At 36.7% G+C, this 20,931-nt stretch overlaps 1 protein-coding gene across 11 annotated transcripts in view, besides 2 other annotated features; it reads left to right on the top strand.

Annotated features, from left to right (window-relative positions):
* Positions 1 to 20,931, top strand: part of LRBA (LPS responsive beige-like anchor protein) — a 751,293-nt gene that overhangs the window by 628,488 nt on the left and 101,874 nt on the right. The window lies entirely within an intron of this gene.
* Positions 19,489 to 20,169: an enhancer, noted in NCBI's record as "OCT4-NANOG hESC enhancer chr4:151288223-151288903 (GRCh37/hg19 assembly coordinates)". NCBI's record gives its function as "activates a minimal SCP1, AML or CMV promoter by ChIP-STARR-seq in naive and primed H9 embryonic stem cells {active_cell/tissue: H9 hESC(naive and primed)}" and the evidence as "EXISTENCE:reporter gene assay evidence [ECO:0000049][PMID:30033119]".
* Positions 20,170 to 20,851: an enhancer, noted in NCBI's record as "OCT4-NANOG hESC enhancer chr4:151287541-151288222 (GRCh37/hg19 assembly coordinates)". NCBI's record gives its function as "activates a minimal SCP1, AML or CMV promoter by ChIP-STARR-seq in naive H9 embryonic stem cells {active_cell/tissue: H9 hESC(naive)}" and the evidence as "EXISTENCE:reporter gene assay evidence [ECO:0000049][PMID:30033119]".

The raw sequence follows: 20,931 nt of genomic DNA, 5'->3' as shown, positions 1-20,931 counted from the left end.
GACAGCAAAAGAAACTATCCACAGAGTGAACAGACAACCTATGGAATGGGGGAAAATTTTTGCAATCTATCCATCTGACAAAGGTCTAATATTTAGCATCTACAAGGAACTTAAACAAATTTACAAAAAAAAAATTAAAAAGTGGGCAAAGGACTTGAAAAGACACTTCTCAAAAGAAGACATACATGTGGCCAAAAAGCTTGTGAAAAAAAGCTCAACATCACTGATCATTAGAGAAATGCAAATCAAACCCACAATGAGATACCATCTCACACCAGTCAGAATGGCTATTATTAAAAAGTCAAAAAGCAACAGATGCTGGCGAGGTTGTGTAGAAAAAGGAATGCTCTTACACTGTTGGTAGGAGTATAAATTAGTTCAACCATTGTTGAAGACAGTATGGTTATTCCTCAAAGACCTAGAGGCAGACACACCATTTGACCCAGCAATCCCATTACTGGGTATATACCCAAAGGAATATGTTATACTATTATAAATATACGTCTGCATGGATGTTCATTGCAGCACTGTTCACAATAGCAAAGGCATGGAATCAACCTAAATGCCCATCACTGATAGACTGGATAAAGAAAATGTGGTACATATACTCCATGGAATAGTATGCAGCCATAAAAAAGAATGAGATCATGTCTTTTGCAGGGACATGGGTGGAGCTGGAGGCCATTATCCTCAGCAAACTAATGCAGGAAGAGAAAACCAAATAGCACGTGCTCTCACCTAGAAGTGGAAGCTGAATGATGAGAACACATGGACAGGGGGAGGGGAACAACACACACTGGGGCCTCTTGGAGGGTGGGGGGTGGGAGGAAGGAAAACATCAGGAAGAATAGCTAATGGAGGCTGGGCTTAATACTCAAAGGGTCACTAATATATACTATAGAGCATATTTATGTGTATCCTTTTTAAATTTGTTAAACTATGAGGTATGAAATAATATTTAGAAAACATTAATGAAATACTGCATTAGAAAAAGGTATTTAATTTTTTTTTTCATTTTAAACATTTCGGAGTATCATTTGGAGAGTTATGGAGAATGCTGATTTTGATTATTATGATGCCAAATACTGAGAATATCTTACATGTATCTTCTGAGCAGAGCTTCTGTTCCACAAAGTTAAATCCATGCTTAATATAATTTTTGCCAAGTAAATTTTAGTTGATTGCACCTCAGTTGTTGATTAGTAACCCATCGGCAGTAGAAAGATGGCAGTGTTTTTTCCAGGCTGTTTGTTCCTCTAAGTATCTAGACGAGGCCGAGTCAGCCTTATGGGTCTAAAGCTGCCAATTTTCCTGTGGTTTCTTTATTTCTTTATCCCTTTATCCAGCTGCTACTTACTGCTATTGCCACATTTGCCCTCTGGCTCATGGGATAGCATGCTTAGCTTCCCCTGAGGCTACTGTTAATGCTTCCTTTTTACTCTGCTGGCTGGAAATGTACTTGGCATCCTTAGTCTTAAACCTCTCCTCCCTCTTTTTTCCACAGACACCAGGCACTTAAGTAGCACTTTCAGCCTGCACCAGTTATCAGTAGTAGCTTTCAACCCCTCATTTCTGGTCTGGTAACTCAGCACACTGTCCCAAGAGAGCTTGACTAAGCCAATTTGCCCCCTCTTCCCTTCTTCCTCTGTCTGTTCATCTTTCTTTTTTCTTTTTCCTACCCATCCATTTCCTTGACTCTCCTTTTATTTTTCTCTTACTCTCTTTAATCTCCCAAATGATTTTTTTCTGCTTTTAGTATAGCAGATGCCCCAGAATTAGGCAGATACTTGTAATAGAAAATAAAACAATAGTAAATTTTAAAATTAAACATTTGCTCAAGATTGGATCAACTAAAAAACGAGTTTATTTTTTATGACTGGTCTATTCGCCCCTTTATGGCTATAATGCAGATTTTTTGTATTAAAAGTGTATAGGTTTGTGTTTTTGTTTTTTTTGTGCTTTTACATAAAGAGTTGTGAAGATCGTTTTTATGCAGGCCTGCTCATTCAAGATGATCTGTGATGTGGGAAAAAAGTAAAATCTTTTTCTAGCTAATGTTTTACAAGGAAAAGAAAAGCTACTTTTATTTTTATTTATTTATTTTTTTACATACAATGATTCGAATACACAGTTTGAGTTATTTTTCAAACTAACTTTCTCTGAATATGCTATAAATGTTGGCTGTTCATTTTTCAAGTAATGGTTTGTAAACAACTTTTAGGCATTCTTAGCTAACTAATATTTATGACCAATAGTTTAGGACATAAAGATTATACCTATGAATTGGGGGATCAAGAACAGTAACAGTGCTCTGCAGGCCTCGATCATTAACTGCCAACAAAATCTACAGGACAATTCCAAATGTCTGCAAAAGAAAAACATGAAAAATTCATACTGATAATTATAGATCAGAATCATTTAAAGCCCTTATCTCCTTCCTCCTCTCATTTCCCTAATCTTAATTCTTTCCTCTGAAAAAAAAAAAAGAAATTAAAGTTTGTATTTTATAAATCCAACAAATTGTGAATTCTTTTTCTCTAGCCTTATTTAACCAAAATATATATTGTTTTACTCTACCTCCACAATTAGGTCTGTATTTTAAAGATACAAAATGCCCTTCTCATCGTAATTCCCTGAAGGTATTTTTATTTAGTTTGTGAGGTTTAATGCTGGGTCTAAGTTTAAAGGAAGCATTAGCCCATAAGAAGTTAGATGCTGTTTCATAACCTTAACTAGGAGTCAGCCACTCTTACTCCTTTGCAGAGCATAAGAAAGGAGGATCAGGAAAGAAGAGGATCTGCTTTTCACATTCTTAAATGTCCTGAATTTAAATCTCTTTAGAAAAGAAGGCTTTATTTATCAGTTTCACAACCTTTTATATAGATGTAAAAAATACACACTGGGCCGGGCTCAGTGACTCAGGCCTGTAATCCCAGCACTTTGGGAAGCTGAGGTGGGCGGATCACCTGAGGTCGGGAGTTCAAGACCAGTCCAACCAACACGGAGGAACCCCATCTCTACTAAAAATACAAAATTTGCCGGGCATGGTGGTGCATGCCTGTAATCCCAGCTACTCGGAAGACTGAGGCAGGAGAATCGCTTGAACCCGGGAGATGGAGGTTGCGGTGAGCTGAGATCGCACATTGCACTCCAGCCTGGGCAACAAGAACAAAACTCTGTCTCAAAATAAATAAATAAATAAATAAAAAATAAAAATAAAAAAACTGTTCCTTAATGTTTGTATTAAGGAGCCAATAAACAATAGAATATTATAATAATTTGAATATGCTTTTAAAGCTACATATATTACCCCTGCCAGACTGTAATGCTATACACACTCCCCTTTTTCACCACCTGGAGGCAGATGGATGGGTATTAGCAATTTTAGCATTTAGACATTCTTTTTGAGAGTGTCTTGTTCTAACGTAAGGCTTTTTTTAAATTTCTGCCCTCAGGAAGTTAGCAGTTGCTACTTGCATTTTGTTAAGCTTGTTCAGTACTACAAGCACTGGGGACACAACAGTGATGCTCTTGGTCTTTTATATACATCTTATTCATATACATTTCCCTGAAATACACCTGTCACACAAGAGCGATATGATACCTGCGTGGCAGACTTCCAATACTATCTAAAACACTTTATGTTCTCAAAAAAAGTGTGTTTGTTTTTAAGTTATCTATACAAAATTGGGGGTGCAGTGGTTTACCCCTGTAACCCCAGCACTTTGGGAGGCCAAGGAGGAGGATCACTTGAGTCCAGAAGTTCAAGACCAGCCTGGGCAACATAGTGAGACCTCATCTCTACAGAAATTAAAATAAAAAATTAGCCAGACATGGTGGTTCTACACACCTGTAGTCCCAGCTACTTGGGAGGCTGAAGTGGGAGGATCACTTGACCCTGGGAAGTTGAGGCTGCAGTGAGCCATGATTGCGCCACTGCACTCCAGCCTGGGTGACAAAGCGAGACTGTCTCAAAAAAGAAAAGAAAAGATTGACTAAAAACTGATAATTATATTTTAAGCAACCTTTCCTTTGGTGACGTTAATAAGCATATTTTTAAAGAACAGTGTACTTAGTACTACTTTGAGCACTACTATCAGATTTCTGTAGGCAGTACTCTTCCTTGCTAATGTTAATCATCCATAAGATGTGCTAGTTCTGAAATGGGCTATTAAGTATCTTTTTGGGGATATATTTTAAAACAAATAAATATTCATAAACCTGATGAAAGCTGAAGTAGTAAATGTTATAAACAAATAATCTTGGCATATTTCAGTACTTGTTTACCACCACTTTAGCAGCCCACAAAAATTTTGCAATTTATTTCTATATTTGTTATTGTCCTCAGAAGGTTGTTTGTCCTTATGAGTGTTAGAAATTTGAAAAAATATTTTGTCAGTAGTTTAGACCATGTTTTTCATTTTTATTTCTATGTTTTTTTACAATCCAGTTTAAGTTCTTCACTACTTTTGGCTTTTGAAGATCTATGTTAATTTAAATTTAGTTAAATAACTACCTTAGAAACTATTGGTTTAGTTTGCCTTGAAAAAGCACAAAAAGCCTGTGAATATTTGCAAACTAACTTTTCAGAGCCTGGTCTTCTTTTTTTTTTTTTTTGAAACAGAGTCTCACTCTGTCACCCAGGCTGGAGTGCAGTGGCACAGTCTCAGCTCACTGCAGCCTCTGCCTCCCAGGCTCAAGCGATTCTCTTGCCTCGGCCTCCTGAGTAGCTGCGACTACAGGCATGTGCCACCATGCCCAGCTAATTTTTGTATTTTTAGTAGGATGGGGTTTCACCGTGTTGGCTAGGCTGGTCTTGAACTCACAGCCTCAAGTGATCCACCCACCTTAACCTCCCAAAGTGCTAAGATTACAGGCATGAGCCACCGTGCCCAGCCCCAGAATGGTTTCTTACTCAGTTTCAGTTTTCTAGCAAATCTCTATTGACACAAAACAAGACTGCAAGGCTACTCTCCTGCTAATGATAGGCTAGAGCCAATTTTTACTAAAATATTCATTTTGTAAAAAATAAAAGTAGTGAATCACACTGATTAGGCAATGGCTTCCTATATACAGTACCAAAGCCTCAAAAACAAAAATAAATAAACTGGACTTGGAAAGTGAAAAGACAATCCATAGAATGGGAGAAAATATTTGCAAATCATATATTTGGTAAGAGTCTACTATGCAGATTATATAAGGGACTCTTACAACTCAAGAATAAGAAGATAAATAGTCTAATGAAAAACTGGGCAAAGGATTTGAATAGACATTCCTCCCAAGAAGATATCTGAATGGCCAAAAGGCACGTGAAAATATGTTAACATTAGTAGTCATGGAGAAATGCAAATCACACCACCTCACGTGAGATACCACTTCACAACCACTAGCAAAAAGACAGACAATAACAAGTATTGGTTAAGATATGTAAAAACTGTAACCCTCAGGCATTACTCTTGGGAATGTAAAATGGTGCACATTCTTTACATTGAGTTACCGTGTGACCCAGCAATTCCACTCTTGGTTATATGTATATCCAAGATAATTGGAAACATATCCATACAAAAACATATTCATTAATGTTTATAGCAGCATTAGTCATAGTAGCCAAAAAGTAGAAACAACCCAAATGCCTACCAAATAATTAATAATGGATTAACACAATATGGTGTATCCATATGCTGAAGATTATTCAGCCATAAACAGAAGTGAAATAGTGAGACATGCTACAGCATGAACCATGAAAACATGATGCTAAGTTAAATAATCCAGACATAAAAGCCACATATTGTATGATTCCACTTATACAAAATATCCAGAATAGACAAATCCATAGAAATACAGAGTAGATTAGTGGTTGTCAGGGTGTGAGGGTGAGGGAAATGGGAGTGAGTGCCATATAGGTACGGAGTTTCTTTTTGGTGTGATGAAAGGGCTCTGAATTTAATGGTGATGTTTGCACAGCTTTGTGATAATACTGAAAACCACAGAATTGTACACTTTAAAGGATGAATTCTGTGGTATGTGAGTTATATTTAAATGTTGAAAAAGAAGCCACACTTGTCATTTTAATTCAAAAATTGTATGAAGGAATTTAAGTGGTTTTAAAAAATTCAGTAGTTTTGAAGTGTAAATCATGTAAGTGCCTTTATGGAGAGACCACTTAAATTCGGCTTGTTGAACTATTTCCTAAGGAATATTAAATAGTTCTAAGTTAAAAACAAAATATACTTTTTTTTTTTTTTTTTTTTTTTTTTGAGATGGAGTTTCGCTCTTGTTGCCCAGGCTGGAATGCAATGGTGCAATCTTGGCTCACTGCAACCCCCGCCTCCCCAGTTCAAGTGATTCTCCTGCCTCAGCCTCCCAAGTAGTTGAGATTACAGGCACCCGCCACCTCACCTGGCTAATTTTTTTTTTTGTATTTTTAGTAGAGACGGGGTTTCACCATGTTGGTCAGGCTGGTCTTGAACTCCTGATCTCAGGTAATCCACCCTCCTCAGCCTCCTAAAGTGCTGGGATTACAGGTGTGAGCCACTGCACCTGGCCTAAAACAAAATATACTTAATTTAGAAAAATAAACAAGAGAAAATAATAAGTAGACATCTTCTTTTCCTTTTATATTGCTAATGTGTGCATTCTACATAAACTGCAATTTTTTTTTTTTTAGTCAGTAATTCTCATCTCAAACTTTTAGTGTTCCAGTGTTTGTTTAAAATGCAGATCCCAGGGCCCTACACCATACTTATTAAAATTGGTTCTGGTGGTTTCTGGAATAAGCCCTGGAATAACTCCCTAGGTGATCCTGATGTAGGTGGGGTTCAAATCTCTTGCCTTAGTTGGCATATTTTAAATTTGCTTTATTTCAAGAGGAAAATGATAGTGGGGAAAGAAAAATTCTTAACTGCTAAGAATTAGTTCACAGGTGCTTTGTAAATATTATTCAGAATACAGTTGAGTGATCCCTGTTGTTCTAATGCTGGTGTTGACCCTGCGCCATTGAGGAGTAGAGTTGTGATCATTAATTGTTTTTTGTTTTTATTTTGTTTTGTTTTGTTTTTTTGAGACAGAGTTTCACTCTTGTTGCCCAGGCTGGAGTGCAATGGCGTGATCTCGGCTCACTGCAACCTCTGCCTCCTGGGTTCAAGTGATTCTCCTGCCTCAGCCTCCCGAGTAGGTGGGATTACAAGTGTGTGCCACCATACCTGGCTAATTTTTTTTTTTTTTTTTTTTTTTTTTAGTAGTAGAAATGGGGTTTCTCCATGTTGGTCAGGCTGGTCTTGAACTCCTGACCTCAGGTGATCCTCTCACCTCGTTGTCCCAAAGTGCTGGGATTACAGGCATGAGCCATTGCACCCAGCCATTAATTCTTTGTTGTTGTTTTCCTATGTATGGAGTTCATGGTTTGCTTTCTATTTGGCTTCATAAATACTGCCTCGGCAATATAATATTTCATGATATGTGGATAGTGTTAAAACAAAGCCAAGAAGTCCAGCATATCTTCCTAGAGTTAGTAATAGTGCAGCAGAAGATGTTATTCACAAAGAAAATAGCACTATTCATTTGTCATCAGGATGTATGCTATGAGTTATTTCCTGTAATGATGATAGTTTTTTGTTTTTTGAACCATCTCCAGTATAATTCCCTTTTCAACTAATAGCATAGATGTGTGACCCTTTGCTGAGATCAGGGACCTGTCTTTGACCATGAAATGTACTTTTCTCAATGTGAACCCAGCTGGGCTCTATGGGATTGAACCTATAACCTGACTCATTATTGCTGTCTTCTATCCATTTTAACCAACCAGCATTCTTTTTTTTCTAATACAAACTTGATATTTAAATTTGTATCTGCTGGTGATATTTCTAATTATGGAATTTTTGTATATAGGAATTTAATGATGAATTCTGATCTGCTTTTTTTTTTTTTTTTTTTTTTTGAGCTAGAGTTTCCCTCTTGTTGCCCAGGCTGGAGTGCGATGGCGTGATCTCGGCTCACTACAACCTCTGCCTCCCGGGTTCAAACGATTCTCTGGCCTCAGCCTCCCAAGTAGCTGAGATTACAGGTGCCCGCCACCACACCTAGCTAATTTTTGTATTTTTAGTAGAGGCAGGGTTTCACCATGTTGGCCAGGCTGGTCTCGATCTCCTGACCTCAGGTGATCCACCTGCCTTGGCCTCCCAAAGTGCTGGTATTACAGGCGGCATGAGCCACCATGCCTGGCCTGATCTGCTATTTTAATGTAGTGGCTTATTGTTAGTGTCTTTTATTAATGGGTAAATTAATACAATAGTAAGAATATATAACAAATTATTATTACATAAATAATAGTATAAAATAGCTAAGAAATCATTTTAGTGAATTTATATTCTGAATCTATCATTTTTTTTCTGTTCCCTGAGTGATTGCTAAGGTACATACTAGTCATAGTCATAACATTATTGTCATTCGATTTGAAGACATTTGTTTGTGCTCTTGCTTTCATCATGTGGTTATGGCAGGCTTTCTCTACATTACCTGTATGTTTAACTTACCTTTGGATGGTAGCTATGAGTTCTGTTTACCAGAGCTGTTTTGGCTCTTCTTTACCTGTCCACAGAGCAGCCTAACACCTTTACTTACAATGTGATTCCGTCTCTGATGCATATGAGTTGCTCGTGCTGTTTCCCAGCATTTTACATCCTGAAGTTGTTTTTAGTATCTGGACTTCCTTTTAAGAAAATTGACCTGGAGAGTTTACATTTATTTACATCCTTACACAATTAACATCTTTGAAATTATAGCACTTTAAAAATAATAAAAGCCATTAATAAAAGTATTTTTCATTTTCATCTGGAAACATGATTTACTTGCGTACAGAAGAAATAGAGGCTGTGAATGACTATAAACAGTTTATGAAAAGCAGCAGTTATTATTGTGTACCTTTTAGAGATAGCTGTCTAGTTCAGCAGACAGCAGTAAATGAGAAAAAAAATTCTTAACATTTCCTACCTTGAGGAGGGGTATTATACTCAATGGAGTACAAAAACCAAATTGGCAGGTAGTCAGCTATTATCTGTCAATCACTTATACATAAGAAGTAAGGGATCATGCTAATTAGTAAAATATCTATTTACGTCTGATGAACATAATTTTGAATGCTATTCAGAATGACAAGATATGGGACATTTAAGAAGGCATGCAAAGTCAGGTGATTATCAAGTGACCAAATATAGGTTTACCTGGTATGGGTATGGGTACCAACAAGGACAAGGCATTTTTTTTTTTTTTTTGAGACAGAGTCTCACTCTGTCCCCCAGGCTGGAGTGCAGTGGCATGATCTCCGCTCACTGCAACCTCCCCTTCCCAGGTCCTCAGCCTCCCAAGTAGCTGGGATTACAGGTGCCTACCACCATGCCTGGCTAATTTTTTGTATTTTTAGTAGAGATGGGATTTCACCATGTTGGCAAGAAAAACAAAACAAAACAAATAAATAAATAAATTGGTATAAAAAACATTTAAAACAAGTATGATAGACTCCAGGCTCCTATAAATGAGGCATTGATTTATAATCATGGTTAATTTTTTATATTAATTATAAAGTATATTATAAAACCTGACCTATGATCTCCTAAGTGGGTACATGTCTTATGGAAAGCTGGAGTTCTTAGAAAGACTTGTAGTAGTCAGTTAAAGGGTATGAGTTTCTCCTCCCCCACTTCTAGAATTAAAACAGTCCTCCATTTCTAAGGACTTTTAATCAAATCCTACTTTGCTTTAGCTGCTGCATAGTATAAGGGTCCTTTAATTTACTTGGTAGACATGTTTACTGCAAATGATATAGTTTTATGAGTGTTACCTTAAATGCTTAATCACAGATCCAGGTTTTCATGTGCAAAGCATTGCATAAACGAATACAGTTGCTTCTCCAGAGTGTTTTTGCTTTTGCCTCTTCCATGTTTGAAAGCCTAGGTCCAGTTTCTGTGTAGATTTTAGACTACTTGCTTATACTTTTAAATCCTAAATCTATATAAGGGACAGACCTGTGGATATGAATTCCTAGGGGAAGTTTTCCTATCCTAAGCCCAAGTCAAGACTAAGAGCTTCTTTTTTTTTTTTTTTTCCATTATTTTTATGGAGATGGGATCTTGCCATGTTGCTCAGGCTGGTCTTGAACTCCTGGACTCAGGTTATCCCCGACCTTGGCCTCCAAAGTAGTAGGATTACAGGCATGAGTCACCACACCCAGCCTCTTTTTCTTAAGTCCTGACTGGTAGGTAGATTCCCCTCACTCCCACCCCGACCTTTTCCCTGTGGGCATGGTTTCTTTGAGGGTCCCAGGTTTATATATAGGGAAATTTCACTTCCACCAACCTAAAAGAGGAGCCAAGGTCTCATCTACTTTTTCCATATGGGCATTAAAAACAAACTCCTAGCTGACTTTGACTAAGAAAAGAAAAAACAAAACAAAACAAAAACACCCGGGGTTATCTTTACCACTCTGTAGTACAATTGTTTGTTTGTTTATAGCTCCTGGGGATTTCTTTTGCTGTTTTCTTTCTAACACAGTGTTCATTTAAAAACTTATTTGTTATTTTTTTTCCTTTGTAATTGATAGACACAACAACTAAATGCAGTGTGGGATTCTGGGTTGGGTCCTCCGATAGAAAAAGGATATTGGAGAAAAGCTGGTTACACATTACAACCATGGTTTAGTACATATTTTCTGGTTTTGCTAATATTTCTTTGATTATATAAGTTGCTAACATTAGGGGAAGCTGAGTGAAGGGTATATACTTGAACTCTTTTACTATTTTTGTATTTCTTCTGGAAGTCTAAACTTATTTCAAAATCAAAAGGTTTTATTTTATTTAGGCGAAAACCACAATTTTGTGCCGACCTAAAAACATTTTTGTTTTATTCATCACTGCTGAGTGTTTTTAGTTATAGGGATTTCAATTTTATTTCTGAGATAAACTACCTAATATTTTAATAAAAGGAGTTGCCATAAAAAAAAAGTAAAATAAGGACACCTTTCCTTCTTCCAAATCTGTATTTCTAGCCTTTCTTTAAAAGTTAGACACAGTGTGGGGGTTGCATTACTTCATAGTAAAATCAACTGGAACTCAGCAATAGCCACCCCTGTAGATATAGGTAGGCATATCTTTCTAGATTTCTGCAGCCCTTCTCTCTCTCTAATGTGTTATATTGTTTGCCTAATTAATTATTTTTACCTATCTGGATTCCATAGATACTTAAATATGCAACCTTTGATCTAGCTCCAGGGGAGAGATCAGTGTTAGAGATGGAGATTTGGTGCTTATCTATAGTGAGTGATGGTCGAAGATAGAGGGTTTATGACTTCACCCTGCAATACCACATAGAGCCCAAAAATCCAAAAACAGAGCCCTGGGAAATAGTTTTCTTTCAGAAAACAAGAAGAGAAAGAGGAACCTATAAAATGGTATCAGGAGCAGTGATAGAAGAGTGCATTAGTGTTAAGTAGTAAGTAGAGGCTGGGCTTGGTGGCTCACACCTGTAATCCCAGCACTTTGTGAGGCCAAAGCGGATCACGAGGTCAGGAGATTGAGGCCAACATGGTGAAATCCCGTCTCTACTAAAAATTCAAAAAAAAAAAAAATACAGGTGTGGTGGTGCGCACCTGTAATCCCAGCTACTCGGGAGGCTGAGGCAGGAGAATCCACTTGAACTCGGGAGGCGGAGTTTGCAGTGAGCCGACATCATGCCACTGCATTCCAGCCTAGGTGACATAGTGAGACTCCATCTCAAAACAAAAAAAAAGTAAGTAGAGAGACTGTTTCAAGAGGAATTGGATGGTTAAAAATATGCTTCAGCGTGGTCAAAAGTAGCCAATCCTGATGTAATAATACACTTTTAATTTATTAATAGGTGTTCTGATTATCCTCCAGCATTACCCCCCAGGTCATTACCCACAACTCCCTTCTGTCCCCCTTATGCCTTGTAGGGCTGATCACTATGAAAAACAGGAGACAGGACTGCAGGAGGAGAACGGGGTCACATTTTTTCTTGCTCCCGCTTCCTGCCTGCTTCAGGGCTGTAGGCCCTCTACAGCAATAGTTAAAGCTACAGCTACAGCCAGACAGCCTCCCTTCTATAGCTTTAGCACTCAACGAGCTTCAGTAATACTAATTCCCCCCCTTACTCTTACAGGCTTATGGGTTATATGCCCTCTTGTTGTTACAAGCCTGCAGGTTTCTCAAAATAGTTTGTTGGTTCCCTTGATGCTTTTTGTGAATAGAACCTTTATTAAATTATCTTCAGATTTTCATCTGATTATGTCTTCTGTTTCCTGCTAGGACCCTGACCGTACACTGAGTATATTAGTTATGGTTCAGGCTAAGCTATTCTTTCGGATGTTTAAGCAACTGTATTTTGGAGTCTTACTATTTCTCATTCACATACTTAAGAATTATACACTTTTGATATGTTATATGTACCAGTTGAGTATCCCTTACCTGAAATGCTTGGGACCAGAAGTATTTCAGGTTTTGGATTTCCTTTACATTTTGGAATATTTGCACTATACTTACGGTTGAGCATCCCTAATTCAAAAATCTGAAATCTGAAATTCTTCAATAAGCATTTCCTTTTAGCATCATGTTGGTGATCAAAAAAATTTCAGACTTTGGAGCATTTCGTATTTTGAATTTTTGGATTAGGTATGCCCAACCTGCAGTATCATTTATATCTTCTCGTTTTTCTCTCATGTAATAGTACAGAGAGCAGGAGTCTGAAGCTGAGAATGAATCTTCCAGCTATAACATGTGACTCCCATCTCTGGGTTCAAGGTGGGTCTACTTCATAGCCAGTAAGAAGAAGGAAAGGAACTATGCCCATTCCTTTTGAGATGAGCAACTGGAAGTGGAACACATTACTTCTGTTTATATCTCATTAGCCATAACTTGAGCACATGGCCTTATCAGGTTATAAGGGAGACAAGGAAATGTGTCTCTGGCTAAGTGAAATTTTTATTATTAAAGAAAATAAGGAGTGGTTAGCAGATAAAAAACAGCAGTCTCTGCCACAATAGTTCACTCTCATAGAGGGAGAAACGTTTCATCCGTACATAAAAGGGAGAGTATTGGAAGTTTTCATGGAGTGTTTGTGGTAAAATCTAGATTTCAAGGAATTGAGTGAAGGAGTGAAGATTACAGAGTGGGTGAACGTGGCTTTTGAGAAGTATGGTGTCCATGAAAGAAGAGGTGATTCTGGGATGTTAGTGGAGTTAAAGAATAAATTCTTTTTAGGTAGCAGAATCTGGAGCAGATAATAGTCTCAGAAAAGGAATATCTTAGAAGGGGAGAAACTGAAAACCAGTACATAGCATATTTTTAGATGGTATGAGGGCACTGAATTAATATAGAAAGTGGATAACACTTTCTACTCCAAACACAGGGAAAAGAGGAGAGGTAAGGTTGAAATATAAACATTATGCAATGGAGAAGAAAAAAATCAAGAAAAATTTAATGATGTCCTCATTTTGAAGTCAAAGGCCAGCCAGATACTCTTCTGAGAAGGAAAGTGTGGCAGCTGTGTAATTGAGGGCAGCTACTGAAGGAAATATGATGTTAGTGAACTAGAAACACAAAAATAGTGAGTATTTTGAGGGTCAGCTGAAGATAGCTTGGATTTATAGTAAAATTATTAGTATATGTTTTGATTTTTCTCTAACAAATTATGGCAGCCCATATGTAGAAGCCAGAAAATTAGATCATGGGATTCACCAAGATTAGGGATTAACAAAGTAGGTATGGAGAGCAGTCAAGTTGATGAGAGTCTAGGTTACATCTTAAAAACCTAGTTGAAAATAACCACCATGTGGTTCAGTGTGGGTTCAAACAGGTAAAGCAGGTCTGAGAAAAATATGGACCAGGAGTTGTATTGGTTGTTTGTTGCTATGTAATAAATTACTCAAAAATACAACAGCTAGAACAACAATAAACATTTCTTTTTTTTTTCTCATAGTCTCTTTGAGTAAGAAATTTGAGAGTGGCTTAGCTAGGTGGCTCTGGGTCATAGTCTCTCTCTCTCTCTCTCTCTCTCTCTCTCACACACACACACACACACACACACACACACACACACACACACACACACGAGATTGTAGTCAAGCTGTTTGCTGAGGCTGCAGTCATCTGAATGTATGACCGAGGGTGGAATATCTGCTTCCAAAATGTCTCGCATTGTTGACATGTTGGCAGGAGGCCTCAGTTCCACATGACACTCTCCATAGGATTGCTTGAGTATCCTCACCATATGGAGCATTTCTCAGATCAAATGATTCAAAAGAGAGGAGGAGGGAAGCCACAATATCTTTTATGACTAGTCTTCGAACTCCCACTGTCACCTCTGCACTATCTTATTGCTTACACAGGTCAGCTGTACTTAGTATAGGAGATGAAAATCATCAAGGGCCATCTTGGAGGCTGGCCATCACAGGAGGAGAACTAATATCTAGTAAGAACTTACTGCGTACCAGGCATATAATTTAATAATAAGGATATTTTATAAGGAACATATTGTTTTTACATTTAAATGAGGAATAAATTGAAGCTTTAAGAAGTTAAGTATTGCCCAAGATTTCAAAACCATTTTACCCAGGCTATGACTCCAGATCTTTTGGATTTTTTTTCTTTTCCTTTCCTTTTTTTTTTTTTTTTTGGAGATGGGATCTTGCTCTGTCACCCAGGCTGGAGTGCAGTGGCATGGTCTGGGCTCACAGCCTCCCTACTAGCTGGAACCACAAGCGTGTGCCACTACATACAGCTAATTTTTGTAGAGAGGGTGTTTCGCCATGTTGCTCAGGCTGGTCTTGAACTCCTGGGCTTAAGTGATCCTCCCACCTCAGCCTCTCAAATTGCTGGGATTACAGGCATGCGTCACCATGCCCAGCCAACATTTTCAATAATATTTTATACAGAAATAAAATACGGTGTAGTGGTTTGGTGCACCTACTTTGGAGACATAAAATTGAGAATTAATTGATATTATTTATAGAAATTATCACAGTACTCAAATAAATAGTAAGCAAACACTTACTGGTTGTTTTTATTGTATTATCTTTGTAATTTAAGAACTAAAAGGAGTCACAAGAAGTTAGCATAACGAGCATCTGACAGAAAAATTAACTGATAGAATAAGAGATAATGGTTCATGCAGACTTGAATCACATGGCTTATTAAATCAAAGGTACATTAATGCTTAAAAGTGGCTAAAATGAGTAGAAAAGGAAGGCTTCCAGAGAAGAACCATTAGATGAAATGCTGAAGCTATCAAGAATGATGACAAGGAATAGGACTATGAACCAAAGGCTGAAATAATTGAAGAAAATGAAATATGCTTCATAAAGGCAGTTCATAATTTGTTTAAGGATAATTTGAGGAAATATTTTTAGGATAGGAATATAGACAGCATTTAAAACTTTAAGCTTTATGGTATCTTGAGTGTTAATTCATGTGAGTCACATTTTTACCTAACAAATATAGAAAATAGCATTATTTAATATTATATATTTATAAAATAAGTTATATAATATTGCTTAAGCTTGTTTTATGTTCTCAGCTCTCTGCTTTCCATGTACCTTTGGACATACTTGTTTTCCTGTGTCTCCATTAGACTGGAGTTCCTCCAGGGCAAGTATAGAATGCCTCATTTGTCTTTATCCCACAGGACACAGCCAGAGTACCCTGAACATAATAAGAGATATAAATATTAGATAAATAGTAGCTTGCGGCCAGGCGCGGTGGCTTGTGCCTGTAATCTGACACTTTGGAGACCGAGGCAGGCAGATCACCTGAGGTCAGGAGTTTGAGACCAGCCTGGCCAACATGGTGAAACCCCATCTTTACTAAAAATACAAAAATTAGCCAGGTGTGGTGGCGGGCGACTGTAATCCCAGCTACTCAGGAGGCTGAGTCAGGAGAATCGCTTGAACCCAGGAGACAGGGGTTGGAGTGAGCCGGGATCACGCCACTGCACTGCAGGCTGGGTGACAGAGTGAGACTCTGTCTCCAAAAAAAAAAAAAAAAAAAAAAAAAAATTTAGTAGCTTGCAGCTCATGCTTTTCAACCTACTATGAAAAGGAGATAGATTATATATTAATATTGATACTAGAACATGTTCATATACGTGATATGAAAAGTGTGAGTTTAATTAATTAAATGTGTTAATTAATGCTTCTTTCTCTGTAGGCCGTGGCACATTTGGTGGGAATGAAGGGTTTGAGATCCTTCTTTTGGGTTCCATACTCCTTTCGCTTTAGAAAGTAGCAATTGAAACCCATAATATGTGCCAGCAACTTTCTTAGGCATGAGATATTCTTTGGAAGACAAAGAAGAGGAGAAAAATATAAACATCATGTTTTAAAAAATTATCAGTTTTATTTTTTGGAGCAGTTTTAGTCTTACAGAAAATTTGAGCAGAACCTTTAGAGAGTTCTCATATATACCTCTTACTATTCCTCATCTCAGTACACCATATTATTAACATCTTGCATTAGTGTGGTACACTTACTGTGTTATAACTGATGAGCCAATATCAATACATTATTATTAACTAAAGTCTTTGGTTTATATTAGGGTTCACTTTTATGTTAGACTTCCTGTAGGTTTTGACAAATGTATAGTACCATACAGAATAGTTTTACTGTCCTAAAAATTCCTTATGCTCCACCTATTCATTCCCCCTTCCTCCTCCACTCCTGGCAACCACTGATCTTTTTATAGTCCCCATAGTTTTGCCTTTTCCAATGTATCATATAGTTGGAATCATATAGTATGTAACCTTTTCAGATTGGCTTCTTTCATTTAGTAGCATGCATTTAAGATTCCTCTATGTCTTTGTGTGACTTGATAGCTCATTTCTTTTTATTTTGGAATAATATTCCATTGTATGGATGGACCATAGTTTGTTTATCCATTCACCTACTAAAATATATCTTGGTTGTTTCCAACTTTTGGCAATTGTGAATAAAACTTCTGTAAGCATTTATGTTAAGGATTTTGTGTGAGCATAAATTTTCCTCTCATTTGGGTAAGTACCAAAGAGTGCAACTGCTAGATCATATGGTAAGAGAATGTTTAGTTTTGTAAGAAACTGCCAAACTGTCTTCCACTCCACAAAACATTATTTCTTAATGTATTTTGGTAAGTTTTAAGATAGAGTTATCACAGTGGAGGCGTTGAGATAGAAGTATCATAGTTAAACTAGAAGAGGCTAGAAATTGAGCAGTCATGAAGAAAGCACTGGGAGCCCTAAGGCACGTGTACAAGGCTGTCAAAAAGATCAAGAACATGTCAGCATCATAATTTGTAGTATGATACTTGGAAGAAAAGTTCAAATGTAATAATGGAGGACTCTTTAAAAAATGCTGCCTCACTAATGCTCTTATAAAGGCATGGAGGACAGTACTATATGGAGAAACACAGAAATCAACACCTTTGAATCAGGAAGCATTTCAGAAGAGGTAGACTCTCAAACATTTTACAAATATTTCATTTATATTTTCTTTTTTATATACGTACAATACTTAGCAAAATCTGTCAAAAAGTTTGATAGTTCTTTCAATGAATCTAAAGTTAAAATTCTGCATAAGTAAGCATTTTGTTATAATTATTTTGCAGCTCTTATATTTCTTAGCAGTACCTGAAACAAAGGTGTTTGGTCTAAAAAAAAAAAGTATATTTTTTTAGGCATCATATGTTTGTATGTGTTCAGTGGGTCTCAGCCAAAGGTTGTTGAACCATTAGAGCCACCACAGCAATTTCTAAGCATTCTGAACATAGTACATTTACCTATAAAAAGGCAACCTGGGTTAAATTCAACCTTCTTGTGCTTTCAGCTAAATTATATCAGGTTAGCACCACTGGTTATCTCCTAATCAGAAGGTCTGGCAGATATATGCATCTTTGTGAGATTATTTTATAACATTTGATTATTTGATAACATTTTGCAAAACATGATGTCCATGGAGAAGAGAAAGAATGAGATAGTTAAAAGACATCAAGATTATATTAAGAGGACCACCTTAATATGTAATATTTTAATGACATCTTTTAAACAAATTTTACACCTAGTAATACTTACTTTTGGGCCTGAAATTGACTAAGTCTTCAAACATCTATTTATCTACTAGGAATATTGAGTCTTATAACCAGTGTTTAATTAATCTGACTCAAGGTTCATTTATTTTTAAAAAAGAAAGAAGGAAAATAGCTGTTTGGGAACTATCAGCTTCTGAGTCTCCAGTCTCTTATTCCCACAGTCCATACACCATCAGATATTTGAACACTCCAAACAGTTTAATCTGTTTTCAGGCTATGTGCCAGTGAAACCAAATATGGTACACAAAAAGACATCTATCCTGTTAACATGAGTGAGAGGAAGAGAACAATTAGATAATGCAGTAATGTCTTTAGATGTGTACAGAAGAAGCTCTTTTTAGAATATGTTTTTTAAATTACTTGACATCACCTTGTGTAAGTTAAACAGGATTTGGTTCTCAGTATTTTCTTCCTTTAGAGCTGTCTTTCCAAGAAGGATGATTAAGTGAAATATAAACATCCACATGAAAAGTGGACTGGTTTTCAAACATTTTAGTGATTTGTTTTTTTAAATAAACAACTGATCGTTGTTACCTTTAGTGAAGATACAGTATTCCTTAGATTGTTACATAATGAAAAGTAAATTTTAAATGTTTTTGTATATACATAGCCTGAAAATGCTTCAGTAATGTTCTAACTTAGATGCTGTTTAAATTTAACTTTTGTTAGACTGTTAGCCAGTACTCTGTATGTGCTGTCCAGAGTGATAATGTGATGCCATATGGTGGGTATAAAACAACCTTTCATTTTCTAAAAAATTGTAGTTTAATGGACAATTTTGCTTTATAGTATTTTTTTTTCCTTTTTAAGGAAGTATCTGAGTTTTTAAATCTTGTGTTAAAGTAGTACCACTGATGGGAACATTTTCTGGAGCTCAGATAATGAACAGTAGTTTTCTCCGAAGGTAAACTGTGAATTGGGGGTATTATGAAGTGAGCACTGAAATCTCGGAGGACTACAGCAGCATAGCATATTGTGAAAATCTGGAACCGGCACCTTGAGAGAATGAGGATTAACCCCCTTGAGTTATTAATGGCTGAGTTTGAAGGATACCTCACTGTCCCTGTGTTGCTTTCAATCCTTTTTTATAGCACATGGTGGCCTTTTAAAAATACAGTAATATACTATTTCTTAGTCTATGTCTTTTTAATATTACCATTTCTAAAGTTACAGAAAATATCCAGAGATAGAGTTTAGGGATTATATTGACAATCTTAAATGCGTTTATGTTGCCTTTTTAAGATGCCATTTATTATCAGTATAAGGAGAATATTCTTCATAGAAGAATATGAACGAATTAGCTAAAACATTCGGATAGACATTTATCCCTTTCTTCATGCTTTTTATTGGAATGCATTACTAAAAGTAGCTTAGGGTATAAGCAAATTACTTCATTTTGATTCTAGATGCTGAGCTCCTAATAGCTTTTAAATTTATACAGTTTTTGTTTAGCTGTCAAAACATTTAATTATATCATGCCCAAAGGTGTAAAGCTGTCAAATAAATCCGAGTTTCGGCATAAACATTTGCTAAGTTACATGTGCTACTTACGCTGTAGTTGTTACTGGGCAGCTTGTGAACCTGTTTTTGGGGGAGGGGTGTGCCGAGGAACATTAACTCAGCAGGTACAGAACAACATTGGCCCAATGAATTGATGATTACTTGTAAAACAGCAGGCAGTAATGCCCCAAGTCTTTGTAATTCCTCTTTTTATAAAATAAAGCAGGCCAGAGAGTGTGGTGGATTCTTTGGCTCAATTTGCACTGTAAGAAAACTGTCTTTTTGCAAAAATATGTGTTCTTTCTTTCCTTACCTCCACCTTATTCTCTGGTTTCTCTTCAAAAACAGATGTACCCCATTTATGTTTTACTTCTCCCTCATTCTAGAGTAAAGGAAGTGCTGTAACTAATCAACAATTAATTATAAATTATAAGTTTAGTTTTCTAAAACACTTTTAAAGAAAGGAAAATTTAAAAAATTTTAATTAGCCTTAATATCTAGTTATTCTATAAATAAAATTTTTAGTATTTGATGACGTTATTTGGAGGTAAATTTGTTAGCATAAATACTAATGCAGACTTCACTAATGCAAAATTCACTAAGAGGTAGGGGAGTAAAGTAAATTAGTTCTACTTTGAAGCTTTTATTTTCTTCCCCTTTCAAAATGAATGGGAAGGCCCTTGAGAGGCCCTTGAATGAAAGCTGCTTTTCATTAGTGCTACCAAATACCTACTTGAAAGAGTTGAGTTCTAACTGAACACCCACACAAGAGAAAGGGAAAGCTTCCTTTTTCTACTGGAGGACCATCAGCTAAATAGCTCTTGGCTTCTCTTTTCCAATCAGGTGGTTTCACATCAGAGTTAATTACTCCAGTCATTTATTCTAATCACCCTCCTCTTATGGCTAGCTGCATTCTGTCATGGGGTGGCATCGTTTGAAGCCAGTTAAGTTTGAAAACCACTGCAGGGTACTTGAGGCTCATTAGTGAGGCCTATCCATGCCTGGCTTTGGATTTGCTCCCTGATTAACTCTGCATCTCTCGGCCTAGCTCCCTCCTCTCACTGTCCACCAGCCCCCACTCCTCCATGCAGTCTCTCAAACAGGAATGTTTCAATTAACTCTTGCCATGCTGTTTGTCTTTTCACCTCATATTTAAGAAAAATTTAAATGCTTAGATTGCTTCTAATATATTTTGCTAGATTCTGACCTATAACTGCATCCTATGAGTTGAATTTAACTACAGTGGTAGACATTCTACAAAAAGAGTTATATTTTTGAAGAACAAAGGAGGAAAATAGTAGCCTCAGAGTGA

Source organism: Homo sapiens, chromosome 4 (genome assembly GCF_000001405.40).
Source record: "Homo sapiens chromosome 4, GRCh38.p14 Primary Assembly".
NCBI classification, from domain to species: domain Eukaryota; kingdom Metazoa; phylum Chordata; class Mammalia; order Primates; family Hominidae; genus Homo; species Homo sapiens.
The sequence above is the reverse complement of the archived record's forward strand: the minus strand, read 5'-3'. Positions and strand labels throughout refer to the sequence as shown.